Below are 24,283 nucleotides of genomic sequence, written 5' to 3' on the forward strand. Positions count from 1 at the left end.
CTGAATCTAAAAAGAAAAGCAAAAAATATGAAAAAGCAAAATGAAATATTTTATAAAGTGAAGAAAGGGCATTATACCAAATTTGATGTATTGTAATACTGATGTGTCACATCTAGTTGAGTCAGATGTCTTGTTAGGCTTCATTGCCTACATGCTACCATAATTAGAGGTGACAGTTTAGAACATTTTATGTGTTAAAAGACATAAATAGAAGTAAATTCTTCACAATATCAGGCAGGGAATTCTAAGTCAATTGGTCTGGGCTATCAAATACAGGTGAAAAAATTTCTAAGTGCACTAGAAAAAGGAAAAGCTTAGCTCCAAAAGTTGTGCTAGTGGGGTACTTTAATTATCCTATCAAATTATATTTGAAAGAGGACTGATTATTTCAATGCTGAAAAATATACACACAAGAGCAAAATATCATTTTTAAACACAGCAGGCTTCTCTAAGTCCTGTTACAGGATCTGACTTAAAATGGCAAATGCAGATTTCATTGTGATGTTGATACTCTGTTCCTTCCCCCAAGACTTGCTTTGCAACTTTTCTCACTTGCAAATTTTCATCCTATAGAGTTAAGTAAGCTTTTAGAGGATTTCACTTGGGATAATTCATTCTTACAGACTCAGTTATGTGTGCAATAATGGCCTATCTATTCTGACATTATTGGAAATGAAGAAATGATGTATTTTTTCTTTCACCTGAGGATAAGCCTCGTGAAATCTTTGTTTCAAACACCTTAAGAGTCCCTGTATATTTCCTAGCTACTTTTAGCTTAAAGTCTTGTACTGTTTGGTGACATGTTCAGCGTAAAAAGTGTCTTACATCCTACAGATTCAAATAAAATTGCTATAAATCATAGGCAAAAATTAGTGGTTAGTTCATCTGTTAGAATATCTGCCAATGACAAGGTTATTTCAATATCTAGATTGATATTGCATCTTGAAAATAAAATGCTACAACTCTTTTCTGTGGAGGGCAAATTTAAAAATAAATTTAACCTATTTATGGGGGGTTAATTTAAAAATCAGTTACTTGTTTTGCAAATGAGATGTGGAAGAACTACAGAATGTTAGAATTTAAGTTTTTTTAAAGTATTGAGTCTACTATATCATTTTATTTATGTATTTTATATTGAGATGAATATACATTTAAACAGGGACAAGTAATTTTTCTAAAATATAAATTGAAAAGATAAAAGTGAGACTCTCCAATGGGTAGACATAATTTGAGCACACTGATATCACAAGTTTTAATACCTAGCCTTATAATTTCTAAAGAATATATTATTAAAAGAAATAAAGAAAATTATTATTTAAAAAATAGAGTAAACTTTGCTCCCCCAGGCTCACTTCCGATGTCCTTGATTTTTTTTATACTTCCTATTTTAGATAACTTCATCTTCTTCTTATTTTCTGTTCACAATATCTTATGCTTCTAACTATGTTGCTAGCCATATTTCATCTATGTTAATATATATCTAAATATATCCAGTGACCTTTAGATTACATCATTTTCATTGATAACATCCTAATTCCCAGCCCCATGTTCTTCCTTCAGACAATATTGGGTCTAATTTTAAGAATTTGAGAGAGTAGAAGAATAAGAAAAAGACTCGGTGTTCGGGACAAGGGATACATGTTATAGTGACACAGTTGAGAGTATCAGAAAGTGTATAGAACTAAATTGGCCCCACAATAGTGGAGGGCCCTAATTTTAACAGCAGTGACTCCTACATAGTAGAATTTCAGGTGACAATTTTATTTTCAGATTAATTGATTAGTTGGCTTGCCTTTATTGGATAATTTTACCATTCTGGACTTGTATTACCTATAAAATATTGGCAAATTCATTTTTAAAAAAGACACTAAGAGATGACTGGGATTCCATATGATATTTGCAGTAGCAGAAAAATCCCCAATTAAACAATGATTACAAACTATGGGAAGCAAATCTAATGAAGTTCACTGTATCTACCTGGAATACATGGATTTGGGAAGAAAAGCTTAATCAAGCCTATAGACCTAAAATAAATAAAAATAATGGCATTTGCAACTTTTTCTTTCAATACGTTTTTTCTACTAATTTTTCATGTGTCCCCAGCTTCAGCCCATTACTTGCCACTCTAGTCTTCTCTTTTTTCATTATTCAAACTTAGTCAATCACATGTTTTTGTCAATCAACTTACTATTTATTGATCTCCTAAAGAAGACATTCTTCATACATTTGAACCATGTTCTTACTCTTTTTATCCTAGATTGACAGTACCTCTCACTTATTTTCATGTTCTAGGCAATGGGTAGCTTTGTTCTGCAGCTAAAATATTCTATGACACTATGATCAAAAGGGCCATTAACAAAAGTGAATGGACTTTTAATGATGAGAATGTGGGGTTCACTAAGTGTGTTGCATTCTATATGTAAAATGTAAGTTTTGGAGTCAAGATTGGAATACAGATTTTAACACATATTACAATCCACCATTACAAAGTAAAAGTAATCTGCCATTGCTTTTAGTGGCAAAACCACAATTGCTTTTGCACCATCCTAATACTTTCCATAAGTGATCTTAAATAGAAAAATATAACTAGAGACTTACTCATATTTAAAATGAAAATAAATAATATGAATGATTAAGTTGTATTATTTTATCTAATGAGATAATGTATAAAAGTTTTTAGCACAGTGTTTGAAATATAGTAAATTTTCAATAAACATATTCTCATTACTAGTTAGTATTTTATACTGTAGGTGTATATTTTTGGAAAGAGTATGCAATAAATGTTTAGCAGTTCTTTTTGCCAATTTTATTTGATGGAATAATGTTTTTAAGTTTGAATCAATGAGGTTTAGGTGAACCTGATAAATCGGCAAATTCTAGAAGTTGTCCATGACCCAGTTCTGACTAGTGTATTCCAACTGGATGGTTGTAATTAATTTGTCCAGATATGAACATGTGACCCAATCTAGACTTAAAATTAAATCTTAGCTATTCCCTAGATGAGAGAAATAAAATTCCGACCACATCATTTTATTTCCTGACTCTAAAACTAGCTATAATTCTAGACTTTTTAGTTATACACAATTGTGTTTGAGAGCTATCTCATATCAACTTATGAGATCCATCTATTAAATTTTTAGAAATTTTTTGAGGTCATTTTTAGACACAGAAATTATTAAAAATAAACATGTTAATTTATAATTAAATTATATGTAAAACAAGGAAAATAAATTATTTAAATTCATCACTTCCTAAGTATTTCGCTATATTTTGCTGTGATTTATGCTACCGAAAATATTTACATAGATGAAGTTTGTATCATGGCAACACTGTACAATGGCAAGCTAATGTGCATGTCTCCAACTTCCTATTAGTGGCCTCAGGTTGTAGCTTGTAATTCAGTCATGAAGAGAGTATTTACAGCATGAAAATTAATACCACATATCAGGGTTCGATTTAATATTTTGTTGATTGTGTAGAATTAATAGAATTAATAAAAGTAAAAATAATGAATAAAAGTATGTTAATAATGCAAATTATTTTTTAAATTGTGTCTGTAACCATTACATTGTGAACCACCCCAACATACAAGGACATATTATCCTTGTATTAAAAAATTATGATTCTCAGAAAAGTGATTGTATCATTGGTGAACAAGTAAAGGTTTTTTTTTTTTTTTTTTTTGAGACGGAGTCTCGCTCTGTCGCCCAGGCTGGAGTGCAGTGGCGGGATCTCGGCTCACTGCAAGCTCCGCCTCCCGGGTTCACGCCATTCTCCTGCCTCAGCCTCCCAAGTAGCTGGGACTACAGGCGCCCGCCACTATGCCCGGCTAATTTTTTGTATTTTTAGTAGAGACGGGGTTTCACCGTTTTAGCTGGGATGGTCTCGATCTCCTGACCTTGTGATCCGCCCGCCTCGGCCTCCCAAAGTGCTGGGATTACAGGCATGAGCCACCGCGCCCGGCCACAAGTAAAGGTTTTAATTAATTTTACTTTTATCTTACCACTAATGTAAATAAAAATAGTAAACAATATTCATATTGAAACTCTATTCATTTGCTAATTGCAGTCAGCTATCTATGGATTTAAGAGTTTGGCAAAAATTAACAAAAACTCCCCATGAAAAGGGAACTAATATTTTATTACTTGTGCATTATATACTATGCATCTTTATATTAGTAAAACATAAAAAAAGTTGCATATAAAACTTTTTTGAGAGATAATTCTTTTTTTTTTTTTTTTTTGTCGCCCAGGCTGGAGTGCAGTGGCGTGATCTCGGCTCACTGCAAGCTCCGCCTCCCAGGTTCACGCCATTCTCCTGCCTCAGCCTCCTGAGTAGCTGGGACTGCAGGTGCCCGCCACCATGCCTGGCTAATTTTTTTTTTTGTATTTTTAGTAGAGACAGGGTTTCACAGTGTTAGCCAGGATGGTCTTGATCTCCTGACCTCGTGATCCACCTACCTCAGCCTCCTAAAGTGCTGGGATTACAGGGGTGAGCCATGGTGCCTGGTGGAGAGATGATTCTTAAATATTTACTTGCTCACATTGGTTATAAGCTGGTTATTAAGAGAGTTAAGTAGTATTTTTACCATATGTTCCTGAGTCAGTTGTACTTGTTAAAGGAGTGTTGCAAGTAATAAACTTTAGCATGTACAATTAGATTTATTAATTGGGATGAAAAATGTAGCAGGAAAGTGTTTAATTTCCAAGTAGGAAGTGAATAATATGTGTTGAATGATATACATTAAATATTAAAGAGTCAACTGCTAAAGCTCAGATATCAGATCATGTGCCTATCTATTGGGGAACCTGCCCTGATATTCACATAGGTTCTTTTCTATTTTCCTTAAGCATTGGCCAGCTTGAGAAATAAAGGGAGAGAGTACAAAAGATAGAAATTTTAAAGCTGGGCATCTGGGGGAGACATCACATGTTGTTAGGTTCCACGATGCCCCACAAGCTGCAAAAACCAGCAAGTTTTTATTAGCGATTTTCAAAAGGGGAGGGAGTGTGCGAATAGGTGTGGGTGACAGACATCAAGTACTTTACAAGGTAATAGAATATAACAAGACAAGTGGAGGCAGGGCGAGATCACAGGACCACCGGACCGAGGAGAAATTAAAATTGCTAATGAAGTTTCAGGCACCATTGTTATTGATAACATCTTATCAGGAGACAGGGTTTTTGAGATCAACCGGTCTGACCAAAATTTATTAGGCAGGAATTTCCTCTTCCTAATAAGCCTGGGAGTGTTATGGGAGACTGGGGTCTATTTCACCCCTGCAGTCTCAACCATAAGAGACGGCTACCCCCAGGGGGGCCATTCATAGGCCTACCCCCAGGCACGCATTCTCTTTCTCAGGGATGTTCCTTGCTGAGAAAAAGAATTCAGTGATATTTCTCCCATTTGCTTTTGAAAGAAGAGAAATATGGCTCTGTTCCGCTCGGCTCACCGGCGGTCAGAGTTTAAGGTTATCTCTCTTATTCCCTGAACAATTGCTGTTATCCTGTTCTTTTTTCAAGGTGCCCAGATTTCATATTGCTTAAACACACATGCTGTACAATTTGTGCAGTTAATGAAATTATTACAGGGTCCTGAGGTGACATACATCCTCCTCAGCTGACAGGATTAAGAGATTAAAGACAGGCATAGGAAATCACAAGGGTATTGATTGGGGAAGTGATAAGTGTCCATGAAATCTTTACAATTTATGTTTAGAGATTGCAGTAAAGACAGGCATAAAAGTATTAATTTGGGGAACTAATAAATGTCCATGAAATCTTCACAATCCACCTTCTGCCATGCTTCAGCCAGTCCCTCCGTTTGGGGTCCCTGACTTCCCACAACACCTATCTATAAAGATATTTTAATGTGTCTTGTTATAAAATGCCAGACTATTTGTAAAAGAAAAGAAAAAAAAAGAATATGCTTGCCAAGAGAAGTTGTATCAAATCAAGACAGATAAATGTGTTTATTATAAGACTAAGAAAGCTGAATTCTCCATTTTAGATGAAATATTGTATGAGGAAATTCAAAGAGGAGGGAGATACAGCAGAAAACAAAATTGGCATCTGGGGAAATCTGATATTAATGCTCCTTACTAGTTCTTTCTAGCAACTTTATAACCATGCCTGACAAAGTGACAGTTACTCAAACTTTAAAGAGCCAGCTTCTGTGACCAGCATGGGGGTGCTTGGGAAAAGATTATTTATATCTCTGTCTCTGGCCTAATACTTCACATTGCTCTTGGACAGAGAAGAATGAAGATCATTTAAATGACATCTAGCAACATGTACTGGGTTTTAACTTCTTTTATTACGAGATGGAAACCTCCAGATTGTGGTTTTGATTCAGGGACCATGGCTCAATAAAATATCTACCCCTTTTGTTATTAATTTATGATGCAAATAGAAAGAAATTGACTAGAAGAAAGTGTAAATTTTTAGGTGTTGAATTTTTTTTTTCTTTTCTTTTCTTTTTTTTTTTTGAGACGGAGTCTCACTCTATTGCCCCAGCTGGAGTGCAGAGGCGCAATCTTGGCTCACTGCAAGCTCTGCCTCCCGGGTTCACACCATTCTCCTGCCTCAGCCTCCCGAGTAGCTGGGACTACAGGTGCCCGCCACCACACCAGGCTAATTTTTTGCATTTTTGAGGAGAAACAAGGTTTCACTGTGTTAGCCAGGAAGGTCTTGATCTCCTGACCTTGTGATCCACCTGCCTTGGCCTCCCAAAATGCTGGGATTACAGGTGTGAGTCATTGCGCCTGGCCAGATGCTGAATTTTTAGAGAAGCTACAAGCCTAGTCAAAAAAAGGCTATTATTGCTCAACCTCTAAGGCAAATTCTGTGATGTGAATCTCAAGTTGCTAGTTACTAAAGTATGACATTTATCAGGAAGAAAACTTTTCTCAATACCTTTCTAAAATATGATCAACATTAAAAAAAAAAAACCAAGACCCATCTATCTGTTGTCTTCAAGAGACCCATCTCACATGTAATGGCATCCATGAGCTCTAAGTAAAGGGTTGGAGAAAGATCTACCGCACACATGGAAAACAAAAGTGCAGGAGTTACTATTCTTACATCAGATAAAACAGACTTCAAACCAATAACAGTAAAAAAGAGCAAAGAAAGTCATTACATAATGATAAAGGGTTCAATTCAACAAGAAGACTAAGCTATCTTAATTATATATGCACCCAATATTGGAGCACCCATATTCATAAAACACATACTTCTAGATCTACAAAGAGCCCTAGACAGCCCACAAAATAATTGTGGGAAACTTCAACAACTTACCAACAGTATTAGACCAATCATCAAGGCAGAAAACTAACAAAGAAATTCTGGACTTAAGCTTGACATTTGGTCAGCTGGACCTAATAGACATCTACAGAATTTTCCATTCATCAATGACAAAATACACATTTTTCGAATCTGTATATAGAACACATTTCAAGATGGACCACATGCTCAGCCATAAAGCAAGTCTCAATAAATTAAAAAATACATAGAAGTCATACCAACCACATTCTCGGAACACAGAGGAAAAAATATAAATCAATGCCAAGAAGATATCTTCAAATCACAAATTTGCAAGGAAATTAAACAACCTGCTCCTGAATAACTTTCAGGCAAACAACAAAATGTCGGCAGAAATGAAAAATACCCTTTGAAATAAGTGAAGAGAGACACAGCATATTAAAATTTCTGGGACATGGTGAAAGCAGTGTTAAGAGGAAAATTTATAGCTAAATACCTACCTCAAAAATTTAGGAAGATCACAAACTAATGATCTAACATCACATCTAGAGGAACTAGAAAAAGAATAACAAGCTAACTCCAAAGCTGGCAGAAGAGAAGTAGTAACTAAAATCATTGTGGAGCTGAATGAAATTGAGATCCCAAAACCCATACAAAGAATTAACAAAACCAAAAGTTTATTTTTTGAAAATATAAACAGGATTGTTAGACCACTAGCTAGGTTAACAGAACAGAGGGAAGGTCTAATTATGCACAATCAGAAATGACAGAGGTGACATTACTACCAATCACACAGAAATACAAAAGATCCTCAGAGACTATTAAAAGCACTTCTATGCACACAAACTAGAAAATCTAGAAGAAATAAATTCCTGGGACCATGCAATCTTCCAAGATTGAATCGGAAAGATATTGAAACACTGCAACAGACCAAATTGAGTTCTGACACTGAATCAGTGATTTAAAAAAAAAAAACTACTAATCAAAACAATTCTGGACCAAGTGGATTCACAGCCAAATTCTATCAGATGTATGTAGAAGAGTTGTTACAAATTCTACTGAAACTATTTCAAAAAATTCAGAAGAAAGGACTCCCACACAAGTCATTTTACAAAGCCAGCATCACCCTAATATCAATGCCTGGCAAAGACACAACAACAACAAAGAAAACTATAGGCCAATATCTCTGATTAATAGAGATGTAAAAATCTTCAACAAATTACTAGGAAACCAAATTCAATAGCACATCAGTTAATTCACCAAGAGCAAGTAGGCTTCATTCCTGGGATGCAAGGTTGGTTCAACATGTGGGATTTAATAAATGTGATTTACCACATAAACAGAATTAAAACAAAAAAAAATGACCATCTCAAGAGATGCAGAAAAATATTTCAATAAAATCCAACATTTGTTGATGATAAAAATTCTCAAGACACTAGATATTAAAGGAACATGCTCCCTAATAACAGCCATCTGTGACAAACCCATGACTGACATCATACTGAACAGGCAAAAACTGGAAGCATTCCCTTGAGAGCTGGAACAAAATATGGATGGCCACTCTCACCGCTCCTGTTCAACATAGTTCTGAAACTGCTAGCGAGAGGAATCAGCAAGAGAAAAAAAAATAAAAAGGCATCCAAATAGAAAAAGAAGTCAAAATATCTCTCTTCACCTGATATTATTCTACACCTAAAGACTCCTACAAAAGGCTCCTGGAACTGATAAATTATTTCAGGAAGGCTTCAGGATACAAAACCAGTGTACAAAAATCAGTCACATTTGTGTACCCCAATAACGTTCAAGCTAAGATTGAAAACAAGAACACAATCTCATTTAAAGTAGTTACAAAAATTAAAATACCTAGAAATACATCTAACCAAGGAGGCAAAAGATCTCTAAGAAGAAAACTATAAAACACTGGTAAAAGAACTCATAGATGATACAAATGCAAAATTGTTCCATGCTCATGAATTGGAAGAATCAATATTGTTAAAATGGCCATACTGTCCAAAGCAATCTACAGATTCAATGCTATCCCTACGAAACTATGAATGTCATTTTTCACAGAATTAGAAAAAAAAAAATTCTAAAATTCATTTGGAGTCCCTAAAAGCCTGAGCAGTCAAAGCAATTCTATGAAGAAAGAACAAAAGATAAGTATCTAATATCCACCTTGTAGTTGTAGGTAAGCCATGGCATTTTGCCTATGCCCTTTAGTTTTCACTCCGTAGCAGGTTTTACAATTGCAAATGTCTCACGTGTGTGCATACATATCTGTCTATGTATGTGTGTGCATGAGTGTGTAAACTAAGTAAGAAAGCCCTTTTAGTCCACATTACCTGGGAGCAATTAATAGTCATATGATAAATAAAAAAGTATAAAAAATACAAATTACCTTTAAAGAAGCTAAAAATCAACAGAGTAAAAATCAACCCTATTAATATTCATAGAAATGTGGAGACACACCCTCTATTTCCACAAGATGTCCAAACAATGTCTGAGTTAAGCTTCTCGAATTCTCAATAGTTTACACAGATGTCAGTTCATAAACAGTACACATAGAACACTGAGACTAGCATAATTCTTGAAGGGTTAATTTACAAATGGATGCCTTAGGGTTGGGGTAGAGATACCACAAAGGATAGTGAAGTAACCTGTCACTTCCTAGCAGCCATTTCCTTACCACAAGCACATCTGAAGGAGATCAAAATCAGAAGCAAAACATCCTGTACGGTCTGTGCTTTGTTTGAATCAGTGGTTAAAGATGTAGCTACTCACAGGGAAGAAGCAAGATGAATTAGTATATTGGTCTAACTTCATCCTTCGCAGCTCCTGTTAAAGGCTCACCATTAGCTGAGGCCATTTAGAAGTCAGAGGACCCAGAAGACATAATGGACGTTAAAAAAGGTAATGGAAAAAAAAGTGGCACATGAATTTAAAGGAGCAAATAAGGTATCTTTCACAGTTTAGAAACATTAGCTTTCATAGGGATAACTTCCAAACATATACGTGAGATAGTGTCTGTAAAATGCTTAGGACAATGTCTGGCTTGCACGAAAGAGGGTCTAAAAAATTATTAGGTTCGGCCGGGCACGGTGGCTCACGCCTGTAATCCCAGCACTTTGGCAGGCCAAGGCGGGCGGATCTCCTGAGGTTGGGAGCTTGAGACCACCTGATCAACGTGGAGAAACCCGGTCTCTACTAAAGATACAAAATTAGCCGCGAGTGGTGGCGCATACCTATAATCCCCAGCTACTCGGGAGGCTGGGTCAGGAGAATCACTTGAACCCAGGAGGCGGAAGTTGCAGTGAGCCGAGATCGTGCCATTGCACTCCAGGGTGGGCAACAAGAGCAAAAACTTCGTAAAAAAAAAAATGTATATGTATGTGTGTGTGTGTATATGTATATATATATATATATATATATATATATATATATATATATATATGAGGTTCATTCTTCTTCCTATATTTGCAAAATTTTCCAGCAAGAATGAATAAATAGAAGAATCAAGGCCCCTTTTCTCTCAGAAGAAAGCATTTACTACGTTAAAGGAACACAAACTGCATGTTGATGATACATCATTATATAAATATTTGACAATATTTGCTCCTTTATGAAGTAATTGGCATCAAGATTTAAGCTATCAAATACATTTATTATCTGCCATTTTGTATAAAACATATTTATATTGCTTTGAAATGAGCAGATATTTGCAAAGATACTGTCCTTGAGTGGAGATGTTGTGTTCATATTACTTCAATTTGGTCTGATAATTGTGGGTAGCAAAATCTAATGGTTCTGGGACACAAACTCTGTTAACATTGCTAACTGAGGTATTCAGTCAACTATTTTTGTATATACTTAATAGTTTTTGATGCTTCCTGGTGTACCTCTTGCTGTGGATTTCAAGCCAGTGCCAAAGATCTTGTTTGTATATACATATATTGAGGAGATATAGCAAAGTAAATAGTTTCTACAGGACTCCATGTCATTGATTTCACATCCTGATAGGCAGCAGTTGTTCCAGGATCTCTGCTAAAACTCCTCATATCTAATAGCACTGCAAATAAGAGAATGGACTTTATTCATGCCAAAGTCAAACAGAATCCTCTAAAATTTAAGGGAATAATGGTTTTAATGCAAATATTTCTTTTTTGATTTCTAAAATATAGCTTTAGAAATTTATTGGAAAAAAATGTATGTTCTACTCTTGACACCTTGAAGAAAAATCTTTCCTGAATATTTGTACTTTTTTTTTCTCTAGACATACATGAAAAATAATTTTAGAAGACTACTTTAGCAGAATTGTTAACATCTAGCATCTTTCAGTTGTGTGTGATTGGGGGAAAGAGAAGAGAAAAGACCTAAGGAATTAGATCCATTTTTGCCAATGACAGTTATAAGACAAAATTAAAATAATATGAACATAACATCTCTAGCCAAGGACAGTTTCACTGCAAATATCTGCTCATCTCAAAGCAATATAAATATATTTTATACAAAATATTTTACAGCAAATATATTCAATAGCTTCAATCTTGATGAAAATTACTTCATAAAGAAAAAGTATTTCAAATATTTATGCAATGATATATTGTCAACATGCAACATGCCCATGCCAAATATGCACTTCATTGTTTTCATTATCATCCATAATTCTTTAAATCTCCTCTTGTTCTAGCTGCCACTTAATTTGTCAGCAGAATTTTCTAGAGAGATCAAGAATGTTTTTTTAAATGCTGACAATAGAGGAAAAGGACATTATTAGGAAAGAACAGAGAGACAGTGGTAATAAACAATTTTAACATTTTTCAGAATACAAAAGTAAAAATAAAAAAAATTATAGTAGATTCATGTTATGACATGTAAAAAAAGTATGCTTAAGAAGAATTGTTTCTATTTTTTGTTTTGTCTACCTACTGGCAACCTCCTCTGCCTGCTGTAAAATCCTGCTAGGAAAAGATGTCGTAGAGAACTTATAGATATTTGTATAATTTTAATATCTCATTTTAAAAAGTATACCAATGACCAATAGATGTATACTAATTAAGGTAATCTGCGTGGATCAAATTGAGCACCCCAGATTTCAAAAGATATACAAAATCATTTACTGATGTGTGTCTTGATTCTGGTAGAGGCTGTCTGTAGACTTGGTGGTCAATGAGTAATTACATCATAGTAAAAATCATGTGGGTTCAATTAAATAAAATATGATTTGTTTAAAAATATAACAGAATGACTCAAATATGTATGAAATATATTTCTATTCTGATATATAAAAATCCAATTTTCTAATATGTTGTGTACAAGACCCGTGATGGTATGATGTTGCAAACCATAGTTGGGTGGTCTGTTAGATTTTACAATAAACATACTGCTCAGTAGGATCATAGAGGAATGTGTGGGTATCAGAGAAGAGTGATGAGGTGAATATATTGGCAACCTGGAGGTTTGAAAAAGACATCTGAGCAATTCTTGTAATTCTTTATATTTCCAAACTATATAGCAAAGGTAGAATTAAGCACAGAAAAAAATGGTAATAAGGCAAAAAGAAGGAGAAAACAAGATATCCTTTCATTGTCTAGCATGATTTTTTGCATGACCCATGGAATAAAAATATAAAAAACTAACTTTCATAAGCAATATAATCTAACTTGCTTATAAAAAAAGCTGTCTTGATCATTAAAATCATGTTTAATCTAAAATAATTTTCATTTAGGGAATTTTATAGATTATTCAAAGTATCAAAATATATCTGTACATAATTATAGCACCAATTGTATGAGTCACAGAGGTAAATTCTGCTTGAGCAAACATAAGAAAAGAGAGCATATGTTTTCTTTTTTTTTTTGCTTCATAGACATTTTTTCTTTTTAGAATAAAACTCTCTTCAACCAGAAAAAGATATTTCAATATGGTTTTTAATTTAAAAATAAGTCATGTGGTTCTTCATGATTAGTCCCTGATTTGAAAGCTTAGTCATTTGGGAAAAAATAAATATTGTTCAGTCAACACAGTATTTTCTTCTTTAAACTTTTTATTCACATGTCTTTTAGTTTACCAGTACCAATCCTGAAATACCTAAGACTGAGGATTTTAAAATTTCACATTTTTAATATTCTTTTTTAAATTAATGCCTCTTTTAACATCTAGAACTCATTGCCTAGTGAATTCCTTAATGTAGTCTCCAATGCATAATACATAGCTAAGCTTCCTTTGGACAGGTAATATCTCTTTTCTGATTGATTAAAAGGAAGGAATACAAAGTATTAAGTAAAACACTAATTGAAATATAAATATTTTAGTTTATTAGATAACCATCATAAAAATTATTCATACATGAAATTGAAACCATTTCATTGCATGTATTTTACTGATTACAGAATTTGTAATGCATGTTCTACCCTGTGAAGAATAAAAATATTATCTTTCCAGAGTATCAAATATGTCATTGAGAATTTTATAGAATTTGCTGCCTGGGAAGAAGTAGAATCACCTGACATTGTTAAACATTGGCAAAGACAGAAATAACAGCTTGTGCCAATGCAAATTGCCTGGAAGTTTGTCGATATAGATGAACATGGACAGATGGTTTTCTGAAAGCAGTATCATCTTGGTTTTCTACTTAACAGAAATGAAGGACCTCATATTTATGATGACATATTATAAATCATGAGAATGAAGCTGTTCATTTTTCTTCTATACTTTTCTCTGTCAAGTAGAGACACTACTAGGAGAGTGCCTAGTGAGTACTTAAACACACATTGTAGAGTTAAAGTTATCCATTCTGTTTAGGTGATCTTGCCTATAATCATGGTCAAATATAGTATTCCACTCTTGCAGTAAAGAGTGATTATCCATCGATTTTAAAAGTTCTAAGTCTATATCCTTATTGGAAGATGCGGACAGAAGAGGGAATTGTTGTTTGAAGTTTAAGAGTGTAGAATAGGGGAAAGTAGCACATGCTTGCATCTTACTTAGAGTTGCCTGGGTGGTCATAAAATCAAACCACCTGTTTAGGGATAAGAAGTACTTAGTGGTAACAGACATCAATAAGACAGAACACATCTTCAATGACCCCAGAAGGAAAAGATGTGTAAAGAGCTATCACAAAAGGTTAAACCTAAAGGAGAGAAGAGGGATCAGTGAAACAGGAAGATGTGTACAGTGATAGTTCTGAGAAAGGTTCTTTTACCCTAAAATGGCTTTTCAGTATTTTCTTGAGTGAAAACACCGGATATATTCAATAGCAATTCTAACACAAAAAGACTTGGCAGCTGGGCCCGGTGGCACACGCCTGTAATCCCAGCACTTTGGGAGGCTGAGGCAATGGATTGATTGAGGTCGGGAGTTCAAGACTAGCCTGACCAACATAGTGAAACACCATCTCTACTAAAACTACAAAATTAGCTGGGCATGATCACGGCTGCCTGTAATCCCAGCTACTCAGGAAGCTGAGGTGGGAGAATTGCTTGAACCAGGGAGGCGGAGGTTACAGTGAGCTGAGATCGCACCACTGCACTCAAGTCTGGGTGACAGAGCAAGATTCCGTCTCAAAAAAACAAACAAAACACAACAAAACAAAAAGTCTTGGCAAACAGACCGTTTCATTCTTTGGATAACAATTTTTTAACCACTTCCAATTTAAGGTCCAAGTGTCCAGACCCCCATGTCTGTAAGAGATCATTGCTAGTCACAAACTTTCAGGAAAACAATAATCCTAGCTTGTACTTCCCAATAACAAATTAGAAGTGTCTCTTCTGCAATTTGATTGAATCAGCTCCAAGGAAAAACACTGCTGTAAAAAATATATATATATATAATTATGTATATATGGGTACAATTTTAAATACATTTCATTACATTGATGTACTCTCAAAAATAATAAACATGCAAACTAAACTCCTAACTGTTGCTTAGACAATACTATAGATACATGTAGTCAATAACCTTTCTCCTGAACTGTAATCTCAATGAAATAAACTGATCTTTAACCCAAAGAAATGTAAAGACCATCAGTATGGGATTACATTTCCTTTATAATGGCTTTAATCAAGTGTAACTATACTGCTGAGTATAACTACAATTGCATTAAATTACAATTTACTTAAGAATATTCAAGAGTCCTTAAATTTTCAAAATATAAATAAAGCCTAACTTAATATTAAAGCTAATTTTAAACAGAAAATGTTTTTACCTTGTATTAAAATTATTAGACACACTACAATTACCCAACTTAAACCTGTTCCAGTTAGATATTTTTCTGAATCCAGAAGCTAGTAACATATAATATCTCTGTACATAACATCTTTACAAGATAGTTTTAAATATGACATATTTACAATCATTTAAATTTTGTTTTTGCTACCAATTGACTAGTGAAAATTCATACAATATCCTCATTTTTCAAGTAATAAGCATTTTATGGTAGTTAGCATTCAGATTGCTTCACAATCCATTTTCCTCAAGCTATATTTTCTTCCTCTGAAATCCAAATTAATCATAGATTTCCATAGAAATCCAAATTAATCATAATTCTACTTTTGTGAAAGTAGAATTAAGGAGGAGATTCAATGGGTGATTAGTGGACAATTATCTTAGTTCTTTTTACAAAATTAGAAGACTTAATTTTTAAAACAAATTCAAAATCTTTTTTATATTTGAATATCTTATCCACAGCTTGGATGTGAAAACTTATATTTTTTCTGTTTCTACAGTCTAGTTTTGAGTTACGATTGTACCATAATCTATTATGGACAAAAAATAAAAATACTTATAGAGCACAAAATTTGAGAAGGAATGAAACATAATCCTTACCCCTTCACCCTTTCTGAAAAAGATTATAATAACAAGAATGATGATAAAAATGCATATGTAGCATAAAAACTATTTTCAAATCCTGATTCTATTGCTGATAGTAAGGATATGGCATCTCTTTAAAAGGAAGATAACTGTGGCATTTTTAAAATATAGCCACGAATACTTTCAATGTCCTCACATCAAAGGGTAGACATCATGTTTCTTCCCCCTGAAGTCAGAGAGGCTGTGATTGCTTAAACCAACTGACCATTAAAGTAATTCTATGTGACTTCTGAGGCAAGATTTTTAAAGGCAATAAATTGACCCATTAACTGAAACACTCAGGCAAGCTACCTGTATGATTCCATGCTGTGAGGAAGTTCAAGTTACATGAAGAAGCAATATTCAGACACTCTGGTTAAGAGATTATTTTGAGCCCAGCCTTTAAGTCATACCAATGCAGGAGCCAAATATGTAAATGAAGAAGCTTTCAGAAGATTTCATGTCCAACGTTTAATTCATTCCTAGACATCTAGGACTTCTCAGAAGCCCAAATATTGTAGACCACAGAAATGTCACCCCACTTTGCATTTTCAACCCCCTGACCCCAGAATATATGAGGATGACAAAATGGTTATTGCATCATGCCACTGAATTTCAGTAGTTTGTTTTGCAGAAATAACTAGCAGAAGCAATCACAAATAGAAATGTTTTCTTTCTCCACAATTTGGAAGACCATCACAAAAAGGAAAGAAGAGAAAATGTGGCATAGCACAAACCTGAGTCTTCCATTTGACAGCTGTAAATTTTGGGAATTGGTATTTAAATCATGGATGATATTCTCATATTCTAGGCATTTATGAAAGGTTAAATTAGATAGCATAATTAAAGTATCAGACAAAACTGTGCTTTCAACAAAAAATGCATAGTTATTTTATCCCTCCCCTTATTATTAAATAAATTTTAATAGGTCTTTTTATAGGTGAAACATTATTGCCAGAAAAGAATTTCAAACTATATAAATGAGAAAAAAACAATGTTAGGCTTTTTTGAAATTAAGGAAAATTTCATAGTGCAAGAGGTATTGGTAATGCAGTCTATAGACATAAAAATTTCATTCATTTTAATAAATACATGAGTATCTCACAGGAAGAATACAAAGTTTGAGATACACAGGTAAATAAAAGGGTTGCATTTCCAGTTCTCATGGAATTTAGAATCTAGCAGGTAAATAAATGGGAATCACAAACGATTTTTAGCCTGATGAGTTTTTAATAGAGAAGACCTCAATACTATGGGAATATACAGCAGCAAAATTTACCCTTGTCTCCCTGAAAATAAACCATTAAACAGATTCAAAATAATAGACCGTAGCTCGTAAATATTAGAGAAGTATGCCTTAAAGAAGCAGCAATAGACATAAAAGCTGTGAGAAGAAAGAATGCAGAACACCTTAGTGAAATCGAGAGACGACTAGTTTGTTTGGGTCATAGACACCAGTAAGGACACGTGACTGGAGACAGAAGTCAGGGCTATATGAAAAGGACCTTTAGTAGATTACCGAATTTCTCTTAAGGGCAATAGTACATTATTCAAAGGGGTTAAGCAAGTGATTTCAGATATTTGTTTTAAAATGTTAGCTAAAGAATGCACAATCTATATGACTCTCCAGAGTAAAACTCTTAGGGATTTTCATACTTTTTTTTCCCTTTTGATGCTCATGACATACCCTCATTCAAAAAAGGTTTGGGCATTATTCTTCTATAATTATACAACAGACATAAGAATACTTGATTTATGATTTGTACTCTCATGCCCTGATTCAGGAATCAGAAATATAAAGCCTTTTTATCACATACATGATTCAACTGGCAAAACTATTTAAATTTATCGCTATGTTGTTTCATGATTTAAAAAAAAAAATCCTACAAAATGAGTTTACACTCTAAACTGTATCCCAAGGATAGCAAGAAATTTCACAGAAATATATTTAAAGAGGATTGGTTAAGTTTTGAAAAACTAGTATGCAGCTTTGTATAATTACTAAACTGAAGAACAAAATATTAAATTATATCATGATAAACCTCTCATATTATTTTTTGTCATAGTATCAAATGTCTATATATTTGCTTTACATTTAACTATTGACACTTGTAGTTTGAAAGCCTCTTAGTCTTTCTTGCTGTCTAATGGACGTTTGCTTAATAGGCCTTGATACTATTGTAGGCTTGAATTTATATAAATCTTACCTCCAGAACACACAATATAATAACTACCTATCCTATACAGAGGGTCCAGATATTCTACTTATGTCTTTCTGGTCTCATTCATAGAACTTATTTCTACTACTAGTAACTCTTCTCATGAGAAAACAAACAAAAAACAAAAACAAAAAAAAAAGTGTACTTTCTCTTCACTCGCTTGCTTCTGCTCCCTGTCTCGTGGATTCAATTTGCTTGTTCTTTGCTCACGGAAAGGATGCTTGGATCCAGAATGTGACTTTGCTTTCTGTGGTGCCAGCTCTTCCGCTAGCGTCTTTCCTTTTATCCCTTTATTAAAAATTATTCTAACATTATATTTTACTTTCAGCATATTTTCTACCAACATTCATCAGAGTTAGTAAGGAATCTCTGGTTAAAGTTAAGCATTATGGCTAGTAAGTTAAATGAAAGTTAAGTATATTCAACATGTATAAATATTGGCATACAGCATAGCATCCAAGGACATAGTCTTACAAGATAATTAAAACACTTAACTTTGATATGTGAGAGCTTGTTTTGAAAATGAAACTCTACACCCACACACCAACATAACATTTACCAGAAAATTTTCAAGTTATTTTTTTCAAAGGAATGTCTGTTACTATGATCACAAAATTTGGATGTCAGGAGTAATTAATTATCTCATACTTTTATCCACAATGCTTAGACAGTAGGAATCAAAGTTTTAAATTGGGACATAAATCTGGAAAAAAAAAGTTAAATTGGCTCTGTGTGATCTTATGTATAACTAAGAATGCTTATAGTTTTCATCAAACTATTCTCTTTTAAAGGTTTGCTTTATAGCCAATTAGTTTTGCTGTAGTCTGAGTCATATATTTAATAATGAGAAAAAATGTTTTCTATATGTTGTTTTAGAAGAGATGGAAAAGCACTTCAGAATTTTGTCAGAAAAAAAAGAAATATGTATCAAAGTAATTTTTCACTTTGTTACAAATTCGAATGTGTCGACATCTACTCTATATATTAAAGCAAAGTCTATTCAACACATGCATAAATAATGGAATTAATAATATAAAATATAAATGACTGTGCAAATAAGTTGACAAATTGTTGAAAGTTATTTGCTAGAACATGAAAGTCAAATAATAAAAGTTGGGGAATACCAAAATATCATGTGCTTTTTTTTGTCTAGGGAGACTGATTACTTAATCCACTTCTTTTTAAAGCTTCATGAGCACTCAAATATATTGTAACTCTTTCTGAATGAAAAGATAATATTCATACAATGAATGTGAGGGTTTCATGTTGATCTTCCTATTGCCTTTTGTTTAACAACAAAACAACCTTTCTAACCTAACAATATAAAACAAAAATTATTTGAGTATCTAGCAGACTTCTCTTGGAGAAAGAAATATACTGGACCCAATTTGCTGTAGAGAGTGAGATTCCAAAGCATATTTTAGAAGAAAGAAGAGAAATTAACTTAAAAAAACCCGAATTTCCTTGCATAAGAAATAAATGCAGAAGTCCCACCTCTAGAATGGCAATGTGAAGAGCTCCATGGATCTTTTTTCCAGTGAAAGTGTTGAAAATTATAAAACAACCATCATCTATGTCACTTGAAAAGTCATATCGGTACATAGAAAATGATGAAGTATTTATTCAAGAAAATCTATTGATACTCACTAAGAACAGTGAGAGTATTTTTGCATTTGATCCACAACCCATTCTTACCTCTCTTCTCACAGCCTATCTTGATATAAACTCTACTCAAGGCAATGTAGCCAAGAACACAGGACTTTTACTAGACGCCATTGGGGGGCTACAGTATGTTTCTGAGAGTAACAGTACATCAGAATTTTTCATTTCAACCCCCACCTGCTGCCACTACCTGTTCTTGAGGTTAAGCTTTTGTTGAATGTGGCCAAGAAGTGAGATGTCACTTCTTCCTACCAGCTCTAATTCATGGAATGAGGACTGTTTGGGTGCAACACACTGAGAACACTGGGCCCTGATTGTCTTCTTTCTGGTTTGTCTGTAAGGCAAAGTTCTCATTCCAGGAGTGGCAAGCTGAGATTACCAATGGCTACTCCTCATCCCAGTGACCCAGTCTCAAAGTAGGGCTGTCACTCCGAGAGGAGAATGTTGCTCTCTTTGCTGCAATCACCAGAGCCAAAGCTCACAAGTTTTGCCCAAAGGAAGGGGCAGAACATACAGCAGAAGAGTGATAAAACTTTTCCCACAAGAAGAGTTTGGGGGAAATTCAACCATAAGGATACTTTGAAAAACAATGAAGAGATGGTAAAAAGCAAATAAGAAGGACTGGCACTTTATTAGAGACATATGCTTTGAAACAAAGGTCAGCTAGTTTACCAGGAATAACCCAGGAAAAAGACAGCTAAGAAGAGCCCTTCTGGTGTCAGGAAGAAGTTTCAAATGCTGAACAAATGAAAAGACCTGAAATAATAAATAAGACTGTTAATATAACAAAAGCTGTAAAGACATAGTACGTTTCTTTTTATCTCTTTTTTTTAAAGACATAAAATTATGTCAAGTGTGTTAGTCTGTTCGTGCTGATATATATATATATATATATATATATATATATATACACACATATATATATACACATATATATATAAATACACATATATATATACACGTATATATATATATCAGAGACTGAGAAATTTGTAAAGAACTTTATTTCTCATAATTCTGCAGGCTGGAAGTTTAAGATCAATTTGCTGGCAGGTTTGGTGTCTGCTGAGGTGCCTTGAATATCCTCAGAGGGGATGAATGCTGTATTTTCAAATGGTGAAAAGGATGAAATGGCAAAGGGTCCTAATTCCTCCAGCCCTTTTATGAGACACTCATACCATCAATGAGGACAGAGTCCTAATAGCCTAATCACGTCCTCAAGGTTCCTGCTCTTAATGCTGTCACATTGAAATTGAGTCTCAACATGAACTTTGGAGAGGACAAAACAACAAATCATAGCATCAAGTAAGAGTTATAACCATAAATTATTGGGTATATAGCATATATAGATGTAATGTGTACAGCAATTATAGCACAAAAAGGAGAGTCGAAGTATACAAAAGTGAACAAAAGTGAAATTTATATTAACATATATGTCACTAGAATTGTTATCCATGTAAAATGAGTCTGATAAGATGTATACAGTAAACTCTAAAGTAGCAATTAAGGGAAACACTGAAAAAATATAGATAAAATATTATTAAAATTAAAATTAAATGTTATATAAAAAATACCTAATTCAAAAGAAAGCAGTAAAGGAGGAATAGAGGAATGAAAAGACATAAGGTATACAGAAAACTGAAGTAAAATGATGGATGTAAATTTAACTATACTAGTAATCTCAAGTGAAAATGAATTTAAATACTCAAATAAAAGACAGAGATTGTCAGACTGGAGGAAAAACAAATTAAATAAACAAGATCCATCTACATGTTGTCTGCAGGAGACATACTTTAGATCCAAAGATGAAAATTCATAGAAAAAAAAAGGATGGAAAAGTTATATTATGCAGGCAGTAACCACAAGAAAGCTGGAATTGTTATATTAATATAGAAAAAAATAGACTTTAAAACAAAAGGGGTTACAGAAGTAAAGAGAGATATTTTATAAAAATAAAAGGGCCAATATCTCAAAAATAGGTAACAATTATAAGCATATGTATGTGTGATGAAAAGACATCAAAATCCATTGATATAGAAACTCCCAAAAATGAAGATTACATAGGCAATTTAACATACTTCTTGTAGCCTTTAATACTCACTTTAACAAATGGATAAAATGACTAGGCAGAAGATCAACAAAGAAATAGAACACTGGAACAAATCTATACAATAACTAGACTGCTTAGATATTTAAGGAACACTGTAACAACAGTGGATTCTCAAGTGCACATGCAACATTGTCCAGGAATACCATATCCCAGGCCATAAAATAGACCTCAATGAATTTAAACATTGGAACAATACAAAGTATATTTTCAGATAATAATTGAGTAAAATCATAAATCAGCAATAGGAAAATTTGGGAAACTCAGAAATATGTGGAAATTAAACAGCATGCTCTTAAATAATCAATGGGTCCAAGAAGAAATAATGAGATAAATTAGAAAATACTTTAAAAGAAGATAAAATACTTTAAGAACACATAACATCTCTTATGTGATGCAGTAAAAGTAGTTCTCATACTCAAAAATAACATTCTCTAACCTGCCACCATAGGCACTGAAAAAAGAAGAGCAAATTAAAACTAGAGCAACCACAAGAAAGTATTAGGGATATACAAATTAGTGAAATACAAAATAGAAAAACAATTGAGAACCTCAACAAAGCCAAAAATTGTTTCCTTGAACACATCAACAGTGGCCACAATTTAGACAGACCGACCAACAAGAAAGAGAAACTAGTCAAGTATTAATGAATTTTTTAAAAGGACACTAAACTTAAAGAAATAAAAAATTATTACAAAAGTACCTATGAACAATTATATACCAAAATTTAGATATTTTGTATGAACTGGACAAATTCTAAGAAAGATTCAAATTAGCAAAAAGAGTCAAGGAAAAATATAAAATCTTATCAAGTAAAGAGATTAAGTTAGTAATCAAAACTACCACCCCAGGAAACAATGACAACAGCAACAAAATCCTCTAGCCAAGAATGCCTCTATGAAACTTTTAAAGTTGAATTAATACAATTATTTACAAACTCTTGCAAAAAAAATAAAAGGGAATACACTTCCCAGTTTATTCTTTGAAGCTAGTATTACCTTAATAACAAAACCAGACAAAAGCATCAAAAAAAAAGAAAAAGAAAACAAAAATGCAGAAGAATATCTTCAACAAAAACAGATGGAAAAAATCCTCAGCAAAACGCTAATGAACAAAATCCAGCAATACATAAAACATATAATATACTATAACCAGGCAGGATTTACCTCAGGAATGCAAGACTGTTTCAACACCTGGAAGTCAATTAATGTAATATACTACAGCAGTAGAATAAAAAACATACAATCATCTCAATAGATATATTAAGAAAAAAAACACTTTGCAAAATCCAATGGCATTTAATGACAAAAACTCTTAAGAAACCAGGAATAGAAGGGAACTTCCTCAGCCTGATAATGGGCTTCTGTGAAAATCCAAAGCTAATATCAAACTTAATGGTAAAAGGCCAAATGTTTCCTCCTAAGATCGCAACAAGATAAGTATATCTGCTCTTGACACATCTATTTAACATTATACTAGAAGTTTTAGTTAGGATTAGGACAATTAGGCCAGAAAACAAAATAAAATCCAAATTGAAAAGGAAAAGTAAAACTATATTTGCAGATAAAATGAGCTTGTACTCTGATAATCCACTAAAAACTTGTAACTTAAAAATGAAAGTTGCTGGGAGGGGTGGCTATGGGTGCAGCTTCGGCAGACTTAAACCTTCCTGCATGCTGGCTTTGAAGAGAGTAGCAGATCTCCCAGCACAGCATTCCAGCTCGGCTAAGGGACAGACTGCCTCCTCAAGTGGGTCGCTGACCCCCGTGCCTCTTGACTGGGAGACACCTCCCAGGAGGGGTCGACAGACACCTCATACAGGAGAGTTCCGGCTGGCATCTGGCAGGTGCCATTCTGGGATGAAGCTTCCAGAGGAAGGAACAGGCAGCAATCTTTGCTGTTCTGCAGCCTCCACTGTTGATACTGAGGCAAACAGGGTCTGGAGTGGACCTCCAGCCAACTCCAGCAGACCTACAGCAGAGGAACCTGACTGTTAGAAGGAAAGCTAACAAACAGAAAGGAATAGCATCAACATCAACAGGAAGGACATCCACAGAAAAACCCCATCTGAAGCTTCCCAAATACCAACATCAAATACCAAAGGTGGGTAAATCCATGAAGATGAGGAAAAACCAGTGCAAAAAGGCTGAGAATTCCAAAAACCAGAATGCCTCTTCTTTTCCAAA

General features: G+C 33.9%; 1 annotated feature.

Moving 5' to 3' along the window:
• Positions 4,835–5,602: an enhancer, noted in NCBI's record as "OCT4-NANOG hESC enhancer chr4:33847208-33847975 (GRCh37/hg19 assembly coordinates)". NCBI's record gives its function as "activates a minimal SCP1, AML or CMV promoter by ChIP-STARR-seq in primed H9 embryonic stem cells {active_cell/tissue: H9 hESC(primed)}" and the evidence as "EXISTENCE:reporter gene assay evidence [ECO:0000049][PMID:30033119]".

This window comes from Homo sapiens, chromosome 4 (assembly GCF_000001405.40).
Source record: "Homo sapiens chromosome 4, GRCh38.p14 Primary Assembly".
NCBI classification, from domain to species: domain Eukaryota; kingdom Metazoa; phylum Chordata; class Mammalia; order Primates; family Hominidae; genus Homo; species Homo sapiens.